The sequence below is a fragment of the Homo sapiens genome, chromosome 21 (assembly GCF_000001405.40).
Source record: "Homo sapiens chromosome 21, GRCh38.p14 Primary Assembly".
Taxonomy (NCBI): domain Eukaryota; kingdom Metazoa; phylum Chordata; class Mammalia; order Primates; family Hominidae; genus Homo; species Homo sapiens.
Window position 1 is genome coordinate 6,058,277 of NC_000021.9, and position 19,847 is coordinate 6,078,123.

Here is a 19,847-nt window from a genome sequence, read left to right on the forward strand (position 1 = left end):
CCCCCCATTGTGGAAATCCTCGGTTCAGCCACTGGGAACTCCCCAGTTTTGAGGGCAGGTGTTGGCAGTTTCATTTGGTCCAACACCAATTCCACGTTCCTGTGCCCCCTTCAACAGTCTGCGCAGCCTCCCAGTGGCGCAGCCTCCCCGTGACTCAGCCTCCTGGTGACACGGCCTTGCTAGCCGCCATCCTGTACCGGGCCCAGGTGACACCGTGGGACGTCTGTTATTTAGGTGCCCCTGGCCCCTGCCACGGGGTTTCCCACTTTGGGGGCCTTGCATCTGTGTGGCTTCTTCCTTGCTCTCAGTGGTCACCTGGTTGTCGGTGGCCCGCGTCCATCAGCCCATCATCATTCCGACTTGCTGTTTTGATCGTCGGCCGGAAAGCCAGACAGCTGGCCTTGCTGGACCATGTCTGCAATGGGAATTTTGAGGCCGAGAGGGAGGGCTTCAGGGGCCCCTGGGAGTGCAACACGTAAATGGGGGCTTGCACACGGGGTCGGGTGGGGGGCTCTTGCTCCGATGTTCCGGGATCTTTTTTGCCCCTTGTAGACCCACAGGTGTGTGTGCAGGAGCCCTGAGGAGGCCAGAGGAGGCCAGAGAAGGGTGAGCAGAGGTCCGAGGGCACTGCGGTGAGGCCAGGCTGCAGATGGAGCTGGGGCTCGAGCTCAGGAGCTGGTCTTCCCTGCTGGGGCCGCGACGCCTGCCGCTTTCCTGCCGGCTCTCTGGGTCAAGGCCTGGAAAGGCTTTCTTCTCGGGCTTCTCATCAGCTTATTGGCCCATTTAGGTAATGGCACTTCCTGTCCATTAACCTCAGCCACACTGAGATCAGCTCTCCACACTCACTTGGCAGGAGGCTTGCAGGAGCTTTCCTATTTGGAGAGTAAAAAGAGCATGGCCTCTGCAGCAGCCAGGAAGTGGAAAGCCCTGGCTTCCTGGTTCCAGAGAACAAACAGGGGATGCGGCTCCCAGATGCAGCCAAAAGTGCTCTGGGGACGGGGACAGTCGGCCGGGTCCTGTCGCAAGCGGCTGCCCTGTTGCACTGATGTCCTGGCCCCTGAGAACACATCAGTAGGGCCTGGCCGGACCCTGGGCCGATGCCACTCTTAGGGGTGAGATGGGGAGCCTGGCCCAGGCTGAGACCCCCACCCTCCACCCAAAACGTGTCCGGGCCTCCAGGCCGTGCAGAGCACACTGGAGGCTCAAGACGGCACCTCTTCTGTGGGACTGGGCCACAGCCTGTCTGATGCCTCACTTCTCTGACTCTTGGAGGCATGGTGCTGGCCTGTCTGTGAGCCCCAGACCCCCTCGTAGAGCTCGCTCCAGGGCCAGGCCCAGCCCCCTTACCGCCTCTCAGCCAGGCTCAGCTAGTGGCCGGCTCTGCCATGGGGAAGGCCCGGTGTCTCTCTCTCTCTGCCTCTCCCAGGCTGCTGCAGCATGGCCCCAAGCCTGGGCGCCAGTAACAGCCTCGTCCCTCCAGCCTGTACAATGGCTCAGCGCTACCTGGGGACTCCCTCCAGCCAGGCCAGACATGCTGGGCAGTCAGGGTCCCTGGGAGCCCCTTGACAGCGACTGACGGCAGGTGGGGGATAAGTAGCCAAGTGTCTCCTGCCGGCGGGGGCAACTCTGCAGGTGTCTCTGCAGCCTCCCCAGTACCCCATGGGTGCCTGCCCCCTGAGTCCCCCAGGGGGCACCTGCCCCTTTGTCCTGACCCCTGCTCCTTCCCTCTCTTCTCCTGGGGTGGCCAGGGGTCACATGCCATGTAACCCTGAATCCTGTCCCAGCCTCTGCCCCTGAGGAACCCGCCCAGCAAGCCATCCACCCTCACTAAAGTCCAGGCCGTCTTCCATGGTCCCCTCACCACCTTGTTCTTTCTGGCCCCAGAGGCCATCACCATCCAGGGCACAAGGGGGCCTGCCCCTTGGCCAGGTGGCTGCCTGTCCTCTGACCCTGGGTTGTCGACAGGGGGAGGGGAGAGCTGGAAACCGGGGTCAGGAGGATGCCAGCAGGTCCGTCACTCCCTGCCTGGATCCGGCCAAGTGCGGGGGACCTTGGCCAGCATCCTAGAGAGCTGGCGCACCTCCTGGGCCTGACGCGGGCTTCCTGGATTGCATAAAGGCTCCTTCTCCTTACATAGCCAGGGCAAAGGTGCATGACAACTCTGAGCAAGTCAAAACAACCGTCAGCAGCGGGAAACCTCGATGAACAAACACCGGGAGAGTGGTGAGTAGCTGCCAGGAAAGCCCCAGCCTCCGGCAGGAAAGGGACTCTGGGCGGGGCGGCCCCAGAGAGAAAGTGGTTAGATGTACGGACAGAGGGATGACAGGGCTGGCCAGGCAGTGCTGCCTGCAGGCTGTGCAGTTGGCCTGGGGGTCTGGAGCCTCCGGGACCCACAGATGCGCCCGCACCCTCATCCCTGGCTTCTTTCGGCCCCACAGCGGGGCAGCAGCACTGCTGTCCTAGCCACGCCAGGCGCCAGTGTGGCCTGGTAAAGGCCTCGTGCATTCTGTCCTGCTGGTGGGGGAGGCTGGCCTCTCATGCGCTTGTCCTTAGAGGGCAGCATGAAGATGCCGCGCCCCACCGGGGAGACGAGGGGAGTGGACCCCTCATGAGATCCAGGCCGCATGAGGCAGGGGCTGCCATGACAGGATACTGCATGCGGGGGGCCTCATGCAGCAGAAGTGGACTCTCTGAGTCCTGGGGCCAGACTTCAAAATCAAGGTGTCGGCAGGGCCACCTCCTGCTGAAGGCTCCAGGAGAAAACCCTTCCTGCCGCTCCTAGCTTCCGGTGGCCCAGGCAGTCCTTGGCTTGTGTCCGCATCGCTCCAGTTCTCTGCCTCCGTCTCACGTGACTGTGTCTCTGCACCTTTCCCCCTTCTCAGAACGTGTCCTTGGATCTCAAGTCCACCCTCATCCAGGAGGCTTTCATCTCAAAATCCTTAACTTAATCCCATCTATCTGCAAAGACCCCTTTTCTAAATCAGGTCCCATTCTCCAGTTCCTCGGGTTAGGACCTGGACAAATCTTTTGGGGGTGTCGTTCATCATCCAACTGCACTTGGCATGGGAAGGCCCCCCTCCTGCCCCCTGGATCTGCCTGTGAGCACAGGGGTCCCCTGGGGGTGTCCAGAGTGAGAACAAATTCCGTCTGGGACAGAGCTGGCAGAGGCCCCGGACGCTGGCCTCCCGAGCGGGGTTGTGATGTTGGACCCTGTTCTCAACACCAGGCCCACGCCACCAATTCGTGCTTCTGTCTGGGCCAGGCTTCCCCGTCCCCCTGTCCCAGTCTCAGGAGGGTGTCTGCAGGTTTGTCTCCCTGGGGGACGGAGCCACGTTTGGGTTCCACTTCATTCTCCAACTGCTCTGGTGCTGGACAGAAGCTGAGCCTGCCCGCCTCCATATGTGGGGTTGGAGAGCCTGGGGTACCCTGGCCTCAGAGGCAGTGATGATGGGGGAGGGAGAGAGATGGGAGAGGGGCCTGGGATGCCATTGGAATCTCTCAGGGCTTCATCTGAGCTGTCTCTGCCCCCTTCTAGCATTCCCAGGGGAGTTCCAGGAGGCCCATGGCCCCTCCTGTACAGCCCTCCACCGCCCAGAGCCTTCCAGCGCCGTGTCTTCCCCTTGGAGCATCTGGAGGCCCCAGACAGCACCCGCCTGACGTTCAGCAGAGGGGGAGACCGAGGCCTGCAGCAGAGTGTTTTGTCAGATGCTGCTCCCTGACCGGGAGTGAGAGGGAACCCACCTAGAGGTGCCAGATGGGGTGCCAGGGCAGCGTGGCCTGCAGGCCCCTCAGCTCCTCACAGCCCCTGCCCCCAGCCTTCCTGGGCCCAGAGATCCCCTTGTTTACCCTAGTCCAGGGACAGAGGCTCAGATGTCATGCTTGACCCCACAGGTACAGGGTTAGGGGTGAAGGTGGCTGTCTCTTCATGTCTTCACCATGGCTTCTCTGCCTTCCTCCTGCTCCTGGTGGCTTATGTCCTGCCGCTCTTGATACGCGACTGTGGTCTGTCCTGGGATGGTTATGATGCATATGTGCTATTGTTGTGAACTGTAACATTGAGGTCTGGCCTTACGGTTGGTTTTGATTGTCCCTTCTGCTCCCTTTTCTTATTTTAATATTTTACCATTTTCCATTTTAATGTATCTGTTGTCTTTTTTGGCTAAATCTCTTTTCAGTTTTATTTTACTGTATATCTTTTCTAAGTGATTGCTTAGAGATTACAATATACTAAACCTAGCCTTTCACAGTTTCTGCAGATCCTGCTTTGTGACTTCGAGTGAAGTGTGGAAGCGCTGGAAGCACTTAGACCCTGCCTGTGAGTTGTCATGTATCATGTCTGCAAACATTAAAAATCTCACCAGATGATGGGGTGTGTGTGTGTGTGTGTGTGTGTCTGTGTGTGTGTGTGTATGTGTCTGTGTGTGTATTTTTTTTTAGACAGAGTCTTGCTCTGTCACCCAGGCTGGAGTGCAATGGCACACTCTCGGCTCACTGCAACCTCTGCCTCCCGGGTTCAAGCGATTCTCCTGCCTCAGCCTCCTGAGTAGCTGGGATTACAGGCACGCGTCACGACGCCCAGCTAATTTTTGTAATTTTAGTAGAGAGGGGGTCTCACCATGTTGGCCAGGCTGGTCTCGAACTCCTGAGCTCAAGTGATCTGCCCGCCTCAGCCTCCCAAAGTGCTGGGATTACAGGCATGAGCCACCACACCTGGCCAAGATGATGGTATATTTTTTGCTTTCAATAGTCATACATATTTTAAAGGACTTAAAAGAAAAAATAGTTTAAAAACTATTTACCCAGGTATCCGCTATTTCTGTTTCTCTTTCTTCATTCTAGAAGTGCTGTGTTTCCCCCTGGGGTCTTTTCCCTTGCTGGTGACAATTCTCTTCTAGTTCCTTTACTTGAGAATGTCTTTATTTTGCTTCTATTCCTGAAGGCTGTCTCCACTGGATGTAGGATTCTGTGGTGACTTCTTCTCCTTTCATTCTTCGTGCAGCACACCAGCATGGCGCATGTGTACATACGTAGCAAACCTGCATGTTCTGCACAAGTACCCTAGAACTTAAAGTATAATTTAAAAAAAAAAAGAAAAAAAAAGGTATTGTTCCATCGTCTTCTGGCCTCCCTGTTTTGTTTAAGCAGTTTTTTTTGTTTGTTTGTTTTAAAAATTTCTATGCTAGTGGGGTGCAGTGGCTTATGCCTGTAATCCCAGAACTTTGGGAGGCTGAGGCGGGTGGATCACTTGAGGTCAGGAGTTTGAGACCAGCCTGGCCGACATGGTGAGAACCCATCTCTACTAAAAATACAACAATTAGCCAGGTGTGGTGGCTCACACCTATAATCCCAGCTATTCCGAAGGCTGAGCCAGGAGAATCGCTTGAACCTGGGATGCAGAGGTTGCGGTGAGCTGAGATGACGCCACTACACTCCAGCCTAGGCGACAGAGCAAGACCCTATCTCAAAAAACAAAACAAAATAAAAGTTCTCTGCTTATTTTGCACCTAATTTCTGTTTAGTTAGTAGAGTTTTAAGAAGTAGATTTAGGTTTGCAGAAAAACTGAGCAGGAAGTACAGAGAATTCCCGCACCCGCCTCCCCCACACTGTCCACAGCTTCCTTCCCTGTTATGAGCACAGCCATGCCATGGGACATGGGTCACAGCTGATGAGCCAGTATCCATACATTGTTACTACCTACGTCCATCTTTTACAACAGGGATCACTCTGTGTGTTGTACATTCTGGGCTTGGGGCAAATATATAATGACATGTATAATGACATCATTATAACATCATACGGAATAGTTTCACTGCCCTAAAAATCCTCCACACTCTGCCAATTCATCCCTCCCTCCTCCCAACCCCTGGCAGCCACTGACCTTTTTCCCGTCTCCATGGTTTTGCCTGTTCCCGAGAGTTGTATAGCTGGAGTTGTATAGTTGTGTGGCCTTTCCCAGGCTGGCTGTTTTCACTTAGCTGCATGCGTTCAAGCCTCCACAGTGTATTTGCTGGCCTCTGTGGTTTTGATGAGAAATCCTGGGTCATTTGAATTCCTGCTCCCTCTGTGTGTGTAAGCTATCATTTTTCTCTGGCTACATTCAAGATTTTTCTCTTTGTTTTTATGTTTTAGCAGTTTTTAATGTGTGTAGGCATGGTTTTATTTGAGTCTAGTCTGTTTGGGATTTGCTGAGCTCATTAAAACTGTAAATTGATATGTTCCCCCAAATTTGGGAAGTTTTCTGCTTTTATTTCTTCAAATATTTTTCTGCACCATTTTCTTCTCTCCTCTGGGCCTCTAAGGACGTGAATGTTAGACCTTTTGATATCATTCCACAGGTCCCTGGACTCTGCTCATTTTTTTCAGTCTTCTTTTTCTTTTCTTTTTTTTTTTTTTGAGATGGAGTCTTGCTTTGCCACCTAGGCTGGAGTGCAATGGCGTGATCTCAGCTCACTGCAACCTTCGCCTCCCAGGTTCAAGTGATTCTCCCACCTCAGCCTCCCGAGTAGCTGGGATTAAGGCACCCGCCATCATGCCCAGCTAATTTTTGTATTTTTAGTAGAGACAGGGTTTCACCATGTTGGCCAGGCTGGTCTCGAACTCATGACCTCCGGTGATCCACCCACCTCGGCCTCCCAAAGTGCTGGGATTACAGGCATGAGCCACCGTGCCCGGCCTTCAGTCTTACTTTTCTTTCTATTGTCTAGATTGGAAATTTTCTACTGATCCATGTATAAGTTCACAGATTCTTTCCTCTGTCACTGACATTCTGCTATTAGGTCTGTCCATTAAAAAAAAACAATTTCTCAGGTATCATATCTTTGAGTTCTGAAATTTCTATTTAGTTCTTTTTTGTAGTTTCCATTTACCTACTGAGAATTTCTGTCCTTCCATCTGCTTCACTCGTGGTTTCTTTTACCATGTGGAGCACAGTTGTGACAGGTGCTGTCCAGTCTTGACCTAATTCCAGCACCTAGAGCATCTGTTGACTCTCTCTCTCTTGAGAATTTTGTGGCTCTTTGTATGTCAAGTAATTTTTTTTTTTTTCCGAGACGGAGTCTTGCTCTGTCGCCCAGGCTGGAGGGCAGTGGCAGGATCTCAGCTCACTGCAACCTCCGCCTCCCAGGTTCAAGCGATTCTCCTGCCTCAACCTCCCGAGTAGCTGGGATTACAGGCACTCGCCACCACACCTGGCTAATTTTTGTATTTTTAGTAGAGACAGGGTTTCACCATGTTGGCCAGGCTGGTCTTGAACTCCTGACCTCATCATCTGCCTGCCTTGGCCTCCCAAAGTGCTGGGATTACAGGCGTGAGCCACCACGCTCGGCCCGTCAAGTAATTTTGAATTGTATTGTGGACATCTTGAATACTATGTAGTGTAGATTCTTGTTAAAATCTGCTGGAAAATGTTGATTTCTGTTCATTGTTTTGGCGGCAGTCAATTCAGTCAGAGCCAGATCTCAAGTTTTGTCTTCTCTCCTGGGGGCTGTGGTCTCCATCTCATTGTGCTCTCAAGGCTTTTCCTGGGTGGCTGTGGGTGCGTCCCGAAGCCAGTGTTGTCTCTGTAGGGTGCTCTCTGCCCCTCCCCAAGTACCATGAAGTGAGAGAGCAGCGAGCGGGCCAGGCGCCACTCCTGGAGGACAGCCACGATGCTCACCTGGACCTGGGCCCCACACACCTCTCATGGTACAAAGCTGGGGGCCTGCAGGCTTTCTGCTGCCCGCCTCTCCCTGGGGGTTCCAGCCCATACCCCAGGATGGTTGTAGGGTATGGCCGAGTCCATCATTTGCTCCTGGTATTGGGGGGAAGTGCCATGGTGGCCTCTGGCAGCCATCCTTGTGGCCTGCCTGCCCTTGCCACCCTTGATGTGTATATGTTTCAATATAGTTGCATAGTGGTTAAATATTCACTTAGCCACCTTCTGCTCCTGCCTTGACTTCCCACACAGGAAGATGGCCTGTACCCCAGGAAGATGGCCTGTACTAGTCAGGGTTCTCCAGCGAAGCAGAGCCTATAGGAGATGCAGACACAGAGATGGATATAGATACCTAAGAGAAGAGGCATTATTACAGGAATTGGCGCATGCAGTTACAGAGGCTGAGAAATTCCATGAGCTGCCATCTGCAAGTGGGAGAACCAAGAAAGCCTGGGGTGTAATTCCATCCATGGCGCAGGCCTGAGAGCTGAGGCCAGTACCTGAGCTCAGCAGGAGATGGTGTCTCAGCTCTGAGAGCCAGCTCTCCCTTCCTCTGCCTGGGGTGTAATTCCATCCACGGCAGCAGGCCTGAGAGCTGAGCGCTGCTGTCTGATCCCAGGAGGAGATGAAGTCTCAGCTCTCAGAGCCAGCTCTCCCTTCCTCTGCCTTTTTTGTTCTAGTCAGGCCCTCACTGGGTTAAATGATTCCACCCACACCGGGAGGGGCGTCTGGCTTCCTGAGGCCAGTTCAAACGCTGATCTCACCCGGAAGCACCCTCACAGATCCCCCAGAAGTAATATCTCCCCAGCTGTCATGCATCCCAGCCCCAGCCAGGAGGAGACAGAGCTAACCATCACAGTGGACCATGACGAAGTGGCTCTGCTGCTGCTTCACAGGTGCCGCAGACCCCTGGGAGGCACCAACACCCCGGATCGAGAAGCCCGATGGGAAAGAATGTCTGGGAAGGACGTCATGCCCGAGGCTTGCGTGACAGTTTCCACTCACAGTGCGCTCACTCTGAACCTCTGTGCACACGATGGGCCTGCATCTCTTCCCACTATCTGCTAGGAAACACGAGGGTGAGTGATGAGTTTTTAGGGTGGAGCTGGTCGGCAGTGGGGCCCCGACTCCCAGTCCAGGGCTGCTTCTGTTGCACCAGTGTCCCCCAGTGACCCCTGCACTTGTTTGGGTGCTGGACCCCTTTGAGAATCTGATGCACGACAGGGACCATTTCCCCTGGAAAACACACGTCCCCACCCTTCTTGTATGCAGAATCATGGGATTTGCCGCAGTTTGCACCCAGGCCTGTGCGGATGCCCCCCGACTGCCCGAGATGCTGCACCTGCCACTGCTGGGGGTGTACCTGCCTATGCCCACTCACAGGGGCACCTCCAGGGTAGCTGCCTGGTGCAGGCATTGGCTCTAAGCAGAGCAGCACTATGGGCCCATCTGGGGCTGGCTCTTGCCTGGGCCTGTGAGCACCATCACAGCCAGCCGATCTGGGAGTATCCAGGGTGTTCTTGTCATTGCGGACACTGAATAGCCATTGGTGGGTGGCGATGGGGGCTTGGAAGCCGAGCATCAGTGGCAATGAGAAGCAGGCCCTGTGGTTTAATTCCGAAGCACATGAACCCACAGAGCCGCCAACAGTCGTTATTCGGCAGGAGGGGGTACAGAGACAGCAGCCTGCGGAGCGTTCTAGGCAGGACAGGGCAGCAAACCTGACATGCGGAGCTGGGGGCAGGGGTAATGGGGCCAGGGGGTAATGGCAGGTGAGGCCATGGCCTAGAGGGTTGCCATGCTTGGTGCAGGGGAGGAGAGGCCCAGGTGTGGCTGCAGTGGCAGCAGGAGTCAGTGTGGCTGTGCCCAGTGGGATGTTGTCAGAGAATGGACCTGGCTGCTGGGAAAGGTGATTGTGTTTGTCTGAGCCACACTGGACTCTTCTCTGACCAGCAAGCACATTCTGGAGATGCGGGGCAGAGACGAGGCCTCCGTGAGAACCTTTGAGGTGTGAGGGCCTTGATCTGGGGTGCAGCCTCCAGCTTTCTGCTTACAGAGCAGGACCTGCAGGAGCTCGCTGACTGCCTGCACAGTGGAAGGAAGACCTGTTTCTTTTACTTTCCTTGAGGAGAAAAAATTAAAGTTCTGAGCAAACGCATGGCAAGGGAGCTCTTGCTTTCCTCTCTTGGAGTTCTAGGCGGCTGGCGCTAGTGGCACGTGGAACTGGTCACGCACACTGGGTCTCGAGGCCGTCTCCTCTTCTGTAAGTTGAAAGGTTGGTGAGAACAGAGGTGTGGTGTGCTCTGACAGTGGCTGGTTGCCTTGTTAGTGCCTGTGCTGCCGGCCTGCCACGCCTCCAGCTCTTTTAGAGGAATGGCCTACCTTTCAAAGAGGAAGTGCCACAGACCAGTCTAGTTCCCTGGAGCCACATTCCCACATGGCGAAGGTGGGAAGCCACTGCGTTATGACTCTGTGCGTTCACCACCATCTCCACCCCGCGTCATCCCTCGTGGCGTACGTCCCTGCCTGGCCTCCCCAGGCACTGGAGCTGGCACTTCTTGTCTAGGTATCTCAGGCCTGGCGAAGCTCCTCGGCTCCGGCCTGAGCGACGACCTGCAAGCACAGACTGGGCGCTGAGCCCCTGCCTGAGCTGAGTCAGGGCCGGAGAGCCGGCCGAGTGGCATGCTCCCGAGAGCACAGCTGGCTGTGCAGTCAGGGCCTTGGTGGACACGCTGTCCACCTGGCATGGACATGGGGACATGAGGGGCAATGCGGGCACATGCAAGAGCATTCCCAGAACAAATGCATGGTCGTCCCCCAACCCCCTCCCTCGGAGTCCAGCTGCTGCCAAATGTCCCTTAAAACCCTGGGTGGGATGCCAGCAAGAGCCCCGGGAAGCTTGATGATGAGACTCCCAGCCTCGCCTCCCGGCAGTCTCCCCCGCCGTGGCAGGCCTGGGCTGGCCCTGGCATCTGTCCAGGCCCCTCGGTGACTCTAACCTTGGCCAGGTTTGGGGACCACAGGGGACTCTGGGGCCCTCTTTGCTTGGTGACTTGGAGTTCTGGCCTGGCACCCCCAAGACAGCAAAGGGCCTGGCCCTTCCGGTGTCATTGCTCTCCTGGGTCCCAAGCTTGCGTGTCCCCGCGGGCCAGGGCAGGGCTGCATGCCACAGAAGTCATCGTTTCATAGAAGGGAAGACTAGGAAGTCAGCTGCACCCAGGTCAAGTGGGTCTGTGCGAGTGGACGTCCCTCCTCTTGCTGTCTGCGTGGGTCACATTGACCAGAGTTTGTTAAGCCCGGGCCAGAGGAGGCTCACTCCCTAGGCTGGGAATGAGTTTGGTGTGGCTTCACACACACCGCACTCACACACACACCCTCTACTCCACACGGTGATAAGTGAGTGGCTGGAGCAAGCCGCAAGGAGCTTTTGAGCGCACACCAGAGCTGCTTCTGCTACCTCCAGGCCTCTGATGGCTGCGGCTGCAGACACAGCCAGCCTCGCAGCATGTAAGAGTGGGCAAGGATGACACACGGGCACAGAGAGACCAGGCTGGGCTTCAGGAAGCAGGTCTGCGTGGGATGGAAGTGCTTAGAAAGTCATTTCTGGAAGGCCGACACCAGTCGGCACTCCCTGAGCGAAAGGACTTGGGAACACGTGGATGCACTTCTTGTATCTCCAAGGAAATGCTCCCTGAGGATTTGCGACGTGGAAATGCAACGGGCTGTGGAGTGCTGCGCACCCCGCACCTCGAGCAGTGGTTTAGCTCAGCTCGGGGTTTGTGGCTTCAGGGGGTCATAGTCCACAGGAGTGCCAGGGGGTTGGGCGGGTGGGACAGAGGAGGCGAGAAGTGGTTGCGGACACTCTGCATGAGCAGGACACGCACACACCACACACACACATACCCCACACACATATACACACCACACACCCCATATACACACAAGTACACACACGAACATACCACACACCCCATATACACACAAGTACACACATGAACACACCACACACACACACAATACGGCTCTGCAAGGAAACGTGTGAGGGGTGTGGTGTGTGTGCACTGTGTGTGAGGTGTGTGGTGTGTGTGAAATGTATGTGTGAGGTATGCAGTATGTGTGTGAGGTAGTGTGCGATGTGTGTGTAGTGTATGTGGTTGTGTGAGGTATGTGGGGTGTGAGGAATGTATTGTGTATGTGTGATATATACTGATTGTGTGTAAGGGATGTGGAGTGTGTGGCATGTGTGTAAGGTAGGTGTGTGTTGTGTATATGTGAGCTGTATAGTGTCGGGGGGGTGTGAGGTATGTGGTGTATGTTATGTTTGAGATCTAGTGTGTGTGTATGGTGTGTGTGGGAGGTATGTGGGGTGTGTGGTGTGTGGTGTGTATGAGGTATGTAGTGTGAGGTGTGTGATGTGTAGTGTGTGGTGTGGGGTATGTGGTGTATGTGTGAAGTATGTGTTGTGTGATGTGTGGGTGATATTTGGTGCCGTGTGTGTGGTATATGGTGTGTGGTATGAGGTGTGTAGTGTGATATGTGTGGTGTGTAATATGTGGTGTGTGTGTGTGTGTGATATATGGTGTGTGTGTGGTGTGTGGTTTGTGGTGTGGTGTGTGTGGATTGTGGCCCCCATCCCCATCTTGCGGAAGGGCTCAGACCCCGGCCCCTGTGCATTTACTCTCTAGCTTCTGGGTGCCAAGCTCAGGCTAAGGGGATTTCTGACGGGCTGGACGTCTGGGCTTCAGCCCTGAAATAAGAGTTTTGAGAAGGAAGAGGGCAGCGCTGGAACCCTCACCCGTCTTTTAATGAAGGGATTTGGCTAAGAAGAAATGCCAAGTACTTCCGCAGGTCATCCTGAGGTCAGGATGTGGTCGGTGTGTCTGTCCCTGAGCAGTCAGACCTGATGGTGGCTGGAGCTCCGGAAAGCTCGGGACCCCTCTAGCGTCCTAGGCCTTCTGTTTTCCTTCCTGCTCCAGGGGGCAGGACTGGCAGATTCAAGGAAGCTTTCAAGAGGGGTTAGAAAGAAGGGGTGTGCTCCAATCTGCCAGCCTGATGTCCTTCATGGGACCACAGGCCAGGAACTGAGGTTCCCTGCGAGGGGTGGATGCTGCGTCTGTGAGCCTCCCCACCTTCTTGAAGGCAAGAGCGCCCAGAGGTGTTCGCTTTTGGTGTCGGCCTTTGAGCTGGAGCCTGGAGCTGTTTCTCTGAATTCCTTCTGCTTGTTTCCTTGTGCTCTTGCCTGGGAAGAATGAAATGAAAAGAAAATGCAAAGCCCAGAACCTGGCAGAGATGGGATGCCCCAGGCCGGAGTGGGCAGGGCGGCGCTCTCAGCCCACTCTCAGCACAAACGCTGCCCCGTTCACCTCTCCGCGCTTGTTGCCAGAGCGTGTCAAAGACCCCGAAGAATGAAATGACTTCGGAAGAGGAGGCCACACACCCGTGAAACAAGCCGGATCTGCAGCGGAACATTCTTTACGTGTTTTGGGACATTTCAAAGACTGATGGCGTGCTGCCTTTGTGATGTGTGATCTGAAGATTCCATCAAAGAAAGTGTGTCCTTTGTGTGAAAGTTGTGATTCTTGGCATCTTCGTGGTTTTGGGTCCTGAAAAAATACCACGAGGGCCCTCCCTTGTGGCCTCTGCAACCATAGGAATGCGGGTTTTGGAAGTGGCATTTCAGGCACGGCCAAGTAGGAAATTAGAAGAGACCCTAGGACTTCGATGTGGGTGGAAGTAACAGCAGGGTGGTCGGGGGGGGGGGTGCCTCGTTGGGGACCCTCCAGCACCCCACTGTGGTTTCTCTTGGGGGTCGCTTGGACAGACTGTTGGAGGGCTTTCGTCCCCAACTTTCTATTGGCAGGTCATTTTTCAAAGACAACCCGCAATGCAGCCCTGTGGTTCTGCCTGTTGAGAACCCAGCATTGAGACCCCAGGGTCGACAGACAGTCTGAGAAGACTGTAATTTGCAGAAGAATCTCAGGGTGATGCTGGCAGGGCAGGGGTCAGAGCTAGCTGGGGACCAGGGTTGGCTGGGCACACCGTCTTGGTGGCTGGTGGTCGCAGCTCATGGAAGTCTGCCAGGGCGCGTAGCCTTGGACCTACAAGGGCAGGGTTCTAGAAGGGTGGTCTCCCAGCTTTTGTGAAAACCCTCCTTTAACAATCAAAAGTTTGAGTGCACACTCCCGATACATGTACACACATTGATTTTTTTTTTTTTTTTTTTTGAGGCGGAGTCTCACTCTGTCACGCAGGCTGGAGTGCAGTGGCGCGATCTTGGCTCACTGCAACCTCTGCCTCCTGGGTTCAAGTGATTCTCCTGCCTCCCTCCTGAGTAGCTGGAGTTACAGGCACACACCACCTTGCCCAGCTAATTGGTGTATTTTTAGTAAAGACGGGGGTTTCACCATGTTGACCAGGCTGGTCTCAAACTCCTGACCTCAGGTGATCCGCCCGCCTCAGCCTCCCAAAGTGCTGGGATTATAGGTGTGAGCCATTACGCCTAGCCTGATACATTGATTTTTTAACACTTGTCAAATGGACTAGCTAATAGTAAAATATTACATAGATTATAGAATATGGGCATTTTAAATACTTTTAAAAGATGAGATTTTGAAAGGACAGTATTAATATTTTCCTCCTGCGCCTCCCTGGGGCCTGTGGTCCTCCCTTTGTTTTTGACCCCTGGGCTAGAGTTAGAAGACAGGAAAGAGTTTGGCCTCACTGTAAGGACAGGCTTGTTTTTGTGATTATTGTTAATTTTTGGCCATATACCTTTAACTTTTTATCATACATTTTTTCTAAACATCAAGAACTTGAGAGGGAGCAGTATCATGGCAGCCCCATCTGACCTATAAGCCTTCTTCCCTCCCCCGATCCACTGCCCCTTACCCCTCCTCTCCCTGGAGTCTTTTAAAGCAATCCCTGACCTTATTTCATCAGAGAAATACCTCAGTGCGTGGCTGTACAGAATAGGGACTCTTCCAAAAAAAATAACTGTGCTACCGTTATCACACCTAAAACACGACCCTTGAATTCTTTGTGATAATCTGCTAGCAGTGTTGAAATTTCCCTGGTTGTCTCCTGTCTTTTCAGAGTTGGTTTGTTTGAGTACGAAGTCCAAGGCTCTCTGTGACTCTGAAGTCCCTCCGGAATGCCCAGAGCTTCCGTCCCCCCCACCCCCCCCCAACACACACACATCACTCATCGTTTATCTGTTGAAGAAACCTGGTCCTTTGTTTGTCCTGTAGAATTTCCGACACTCTGGGTTCTGCTGGCTGTCTCTGTAGTGTCGTCTACCATGTTCCTCTGTCCCCCAAATCCTGTGGCTCTGACGATGATGGTGAGGTGGTGGAGACGCCCTCACAGCTGGGCCACCCTCCCGTCGGGAGACACGTTTTGTCAGTTGCTTCCTCTGGAGTCCTTGTGAGTCAGACTCCTGAGTCAGGACCACCACCGTCAAGGTTGCCACCGCCGCCTCCTGACACGCGCCACCAGGCTCCGCGCTCATGGCCTGGCCTGGCATCTCACCAGGCTTTTCAATGGACTAGAGTGCGGGGCTGCTCTGCCTGTGGCAAGGGTTGTCCTGCTGCTGGGCACAGGCCCAGAGAGGAAGTGGCAGAAGCTGGGCATGGGATGCTGGTCCTTGAAGGAGTGTGTGGGGGCCACTGGGTTGAACGCAGCCCGCTGCAGCCCTGTGACCTTGAGTGAGTCCCTTTGTGGCTGGGTGGGAGGACACCAAGGCACAGACTGAGGACAGGCCCTTTCCCGGGCTCTCGGCTGGCCTGGTTATCACCAACAGGACCTCGCAGGCCCTTCCCCTCCACGGGCCCCAAGCCCCATCTGTAAGAAGGGGCAGCCCAGCTTGTTTCAGTGAATCCAAGAGAAACACTAGTTTTTGTCCTAGAGGAGAGGCCTGGCATGTCCCTTCGCACTAGTGATCTGGGAGGGAGTGGAGCTGACGCCAAGACCCCACGAAACCACCTTCTTTCCCTCTGTACCTGGAAAGGGCTTGGCTCCCACCACCTTTGGTGGGAACAGCCATTCAGAGCATTTTGCAAGGCCTCATTCTTTCCTGGAATCCCGGTGGAGAACCAGCTGGCTGAAGGAATGATCTGGAGAAAAGAGTTGTAGGAATGTGTGTGTCTGCCTAGAAAATGAATTGACTCTGAAAAATGGGCCGTAGGCCAGAAATAGCAGCTCTCCTGCCCTGGTCACTGCTGTTAGGAGGACAGTGTGGCATGTCCTTTCACTCTTCGAGCACCTTTGGCTGCTAGGACTGGTGGGGGCCCCCTCTACAGGAGGTCGTCGTCCCTCTGGGCCCACCGCTGGGCACGGAGCTCCCGTGGGCAGGTGGAGTGGACACGGTGCCTCTTAGGACTTGGGGTCCTGATCAGCTAGCCGGCAATCCCCCGCGGCAAAGTCCACCCCTCACTGAAAGCCAAAAGCACTGCTTGATGGGCAGGCCTGGCTACGGGAGCCGTAGTCATCACACACCCAGTAAATCACGCTCCTGGCACCTCCACACAGAGTGGCGATTTGTCAAAGCAAATGCAAGCAAATACCCACCCACTGCCGGCCTGGCAGGCTCCCCAGGAGTCGGATAGCTGGGGAGAGCCTGGACACACTGGCAGCTCTGGGAGCCCGGGGCACAGACTGCTCAGGGCAGGTCACCCCTACCCCAGGAGGGGGCTGTGTCTGCAGGGGCCCAGAAGGAGACTCAGAGAGGCAGCTGGAAACCCACAAAACTAGACTTGTTCAGAAAATGGCCAAGCCCTTGGCCTAATTATTCTCCTTTTTTCTTTTAAGTTAAAAGACTACTTTTTAGAGCAGTTTTCATTTTACCGATACATCGATCAGAGAGTACGGAGCTTCCCACATTGCCTCCCGCACCCCATAGCAGGCAGAGGCACCAGCCAGGCGCCATCCTTTACAAGCTGTTTCAGCAAAATGTCCCTGGTGAGCTAAGTTCTTTCTGTATAGAAAACATGCGGTCCCCGCAGAGGGGATTGCTGGGGGTTCACACACTGAAGGGGGCGCCCCTTCCTTCCCCGTCCATGGTGGGCGCATGCAGGCCAGGAGCTGCGTCCCTCCCCGAGACGGGGAGGGGGACGCTCGCCCCCTGACCCCACCGTGGAGTAGCCCCCTGGTGGCCATGCAGGGCCCACAGGGGCTCTGTTCAGTCGGCCGCTGGGCAAGGCAGGACCGAAGATCTAGCAGGGTCAGCAGGTCCTGGAGGGCAGACAGGGTCTCAGGCCTGGCTGGTGCACAGCCCTGCCTCCAGAGCAAAGGGAACACCCCGGGAGCAGTGTGAGGCCAAGCCGGAGGTGGAGGTGCCGCAGCCCTGCAGGGCTGAGAATACAAGCATCACTAACCCAGTGTTTTCACAGGCTTCAGCCATCTTTTTTTTTTAGTTTTTTAGTTTTTGTTTTTTTTGCTTTTTTTTTTTTTGAGACAGAGTCTTGCTCTGTTGGCCGGGCTGGAGTTCAGTGGTGTGATCTCGGCTCACTGTAACCTCTGCCTCCGGGGTTCAAGTGATTCTCCTGCCTCACCCTCCCAAGTAGCTGGGATTACAGGCATCCACAACCATGCCAGGCTAATTTTAATATTTTTAGTAGAGACGGGGTTTCACCATGTTGGCCAGGCTGGTCTCGAACTCCTGACCTTGTGATCTGCCCACCTTGACCTCCCAAAGTTCTGGGATTACAGGCGTGAGCCACTGCACCCGGCCTTCAGTCATCTTTAAAATGCTTTTTTTCCTCTTTTGATTCAGGGTCTTAATGATTAAGTCCAGGCACTCCAAGGACGATTAAATATTTAAACAGCAGCTTCCCTTTGAAGGTCAGCCCAGAGTGTGGGGTGTGTGAGACGGCCAGGCGCACAGTGTGGGATGCCGTTGCTGGCGGGGGCGCGGGCCCATGGGGGACGGGACAGGTTCGGACGTGGGGAGGGCAAGGGGGCCCAGGAGGGTTCCCACTCTGCAGATGGCTGGCCTGCCTCTCTCTAAGAGCTGGCTCTACACTTGCTTCCACCCCAGGGAAGGAAATGACCGCAGAAGGGAGTGCACCGTGGGGGCAGGAGGTGCTGCGGCCAATGGGCAGTGCTGGGAGATGAAACCAACAGCGGCGATTGCCCCAGAAAGAACTTGGCGCTGCTAAGGCAATGGCGGCCCGAAAGAGGCCCCTGACGCATGAGGAGCGGCCGCCGTCTCCAGCCCCAGGCCTCCCTCCCCTGTGTTTCCCGCAGCCCCCTCTGGAGTCTCTCCCCCGCCCCGCACGTGTAGGGAGACCCCGGGAAAGTGGGCCGGTTATAATTGCAAAAAATAAACCGTCAGTAGCCACAATATCTTATAAACGTAAAAGTAATCTGAAAACCTACTTCAGTTAGAGAAAGGGCGTTTGAATATTTCCTGTTTAAGACACAGACCCCCTGAGAAGATGTATAAAGGACTTGGGCTGGGTGTGGTGGCTCACACTGCCCACACCATGACCTTGGACCCCCGGCCTCCGGAACTGAGAGGCGCCGAACGCCTGCTGTTCAAGCTGCACCGTGATGGGCACTTGGTTCTGTCTGCCCCAGGAAAATGAGCCCAGCGCTCTCCCCAAACTCCTTTGTCCTGAACTTCTTTCCAGAGCCCTCAGCCCTAATGGGTGGTCCCCTAGGGTCCTCAGCCTTCAGACTCTAAATTCCCGTTGGAAACCCACAGGCAGTAGGGCCACGCCCAGGCACTCAGCCGCTGTGCTGCTCCCACGGGGGGCCCAGCAAACAGCCAGAGGCAGGCCCGGGGAGAGTTCCAGGGGGCTGGGAGACAGGTGGGAAACCTGCCACTGGCGGAGCGGTTGGTGGAGGGGTTGGAGGAGGGGCCGACAGGGAAACACGGTCCACGCCTCTGTCTGGGGGCTGTCACCTCCAGGGCTTTGAGCCTCACCAGCGTTCCGCCGCATGGCTTGGAAGGTGTTGCTTTTCCTCCAGGGAGCTCAGGCCTCCGCAACATGAGGACACTGCGACCCGGAAGCACTCTGTGCCGTCTGAGCTGCCCGCGATCCAGTCCCTAAGAGGGACCATCGGCAGGCGGCTTCCTGGCTCTTGGGGTCCGCACAGGCCTGTGGTAGCCCTGTGAGTGTCGGCTCCTGCATAGAACCCTGCCTGACTTCCCAGGAAGAGGGTGCTGCCTCCTGGGGACTCTCAGCCAGGTGGGGACCACTGACTGGGTGGGGCGGCCACGCTGGCCCCATTGCTCCAGCAGGGATGTGGAACGGTGCCAGCGCTGCCCGGCCGCTTCCTCCAGGAGGCTGGGTGGCTCCCCCACTGCCGTGCTGCTGACCCAGCCCCTCGCTCACCCTCATTCTTCCACAGGGGCGGCCAGGACCGGAGGCCCCGTCTCCAGAGTGGTGGGTGGGAAGAAGGGAGAGGGCCGAGGGTCTGCAGGGTGGGCCTGGGGAGTCGAGCTAGGTGTGCGTGCAGGTGCCTCACCTGCCGGCCCTGCCCTGTCCACAGGAGGAGGCCATGAGAACCGTCAAGAAGTTCATGGACTCAGGAGGACGTCGTGAGCAGTGCTGAGGTCATGGAATGTGGGCTGGGACCTTGTGTTTGGTGACATCCTGTAAGTACTCGGCTCGCTCAAGCTAACTGCCCGGCTGGGATCACCGCTCTAGGAGGACTCAAGAGTTCAGATGAGTGGCCCAGGGGCCCGTCAGTGCTGTGCACCTCTCCCCCCATGGGTGGGGGAGGAGCCTGGGGACTTGGCCAGTCCTGGAGGAGCCCTGAGACCAGGCCCTGTGGTGGGCACCACGGCACGGGGAGGTGCCTGGAGGGCTGGAGCCCACTTGGGGGGCCATGGTCAGTCAGGGCTGCAGAAGCAGAGAAATGCGGGATGCCCATGCTGGCTGGGACTCGCCCACTGCCCTGCACATGGCGAGTGAGGGAGAGAGGCAAGGCACCTTTCCAGGGGTGCATGGGAGGCTGCGGTCAAAGGTCCTGCACACCCGCATGCGTGCTCACATCTGTAGCTGCAGACACTGACCCCCAGAGACCCCCGAGCTCATGTGGGGCTGGTGTAGGCGTGGGGTGGACGCTGGGGCAGTGTGGGCTCCTCCTCCTCCTCCATGCGCGTGACGGGGTGGGGGTGGCCCCTCCCCTTGCCCTGGGAGCTCCGGC

At 55.8% G+C, this 19,847-nt stretch overlaps 2 long non-coding RNA genes across 2 annotated transcripts, besides 1 other annotated feature; one reads left to right on the forward strand and one right to left on the reverse strand.

The window, feature by feature from the left end:
• Positions 1-19,847: part of a sequence alteration artifact (region identified as an assembly artifact by the Genome Reference Consortium. This region falsely duplicates sequence located at GRCh38 chr21:43376890-43571979) that runs on past both edges of the window.
• LOC102724354 (long intergenic non-protein coding RNA 1669) lies at positions 753-18,029 on the forward strand. Its single transcript, NR_136540.1, has 5 exons — positions 753-787; positions 2,138-2,223; positions 4,248-4,315; positions 8,591-8,773; positions 17,728-18,029. It is a non-coding gene; the product is annotated as a long intergenic non-protein coding RNA 1669 (long non-coding RNA).
• On the reverse strand, positions 12,482-14,903 carry LOC102724370 (uncharacterized). Its single transcript, XR_430337.3, has 2 exons — positions 14,642-14,903; positions 12,482-12,933 (listed from the first exon to the last, which is right to left on the reverse strand). It is a non-coding gene; the product is annotated as an uncharacterized LOC102724370 (long non-coding RNA).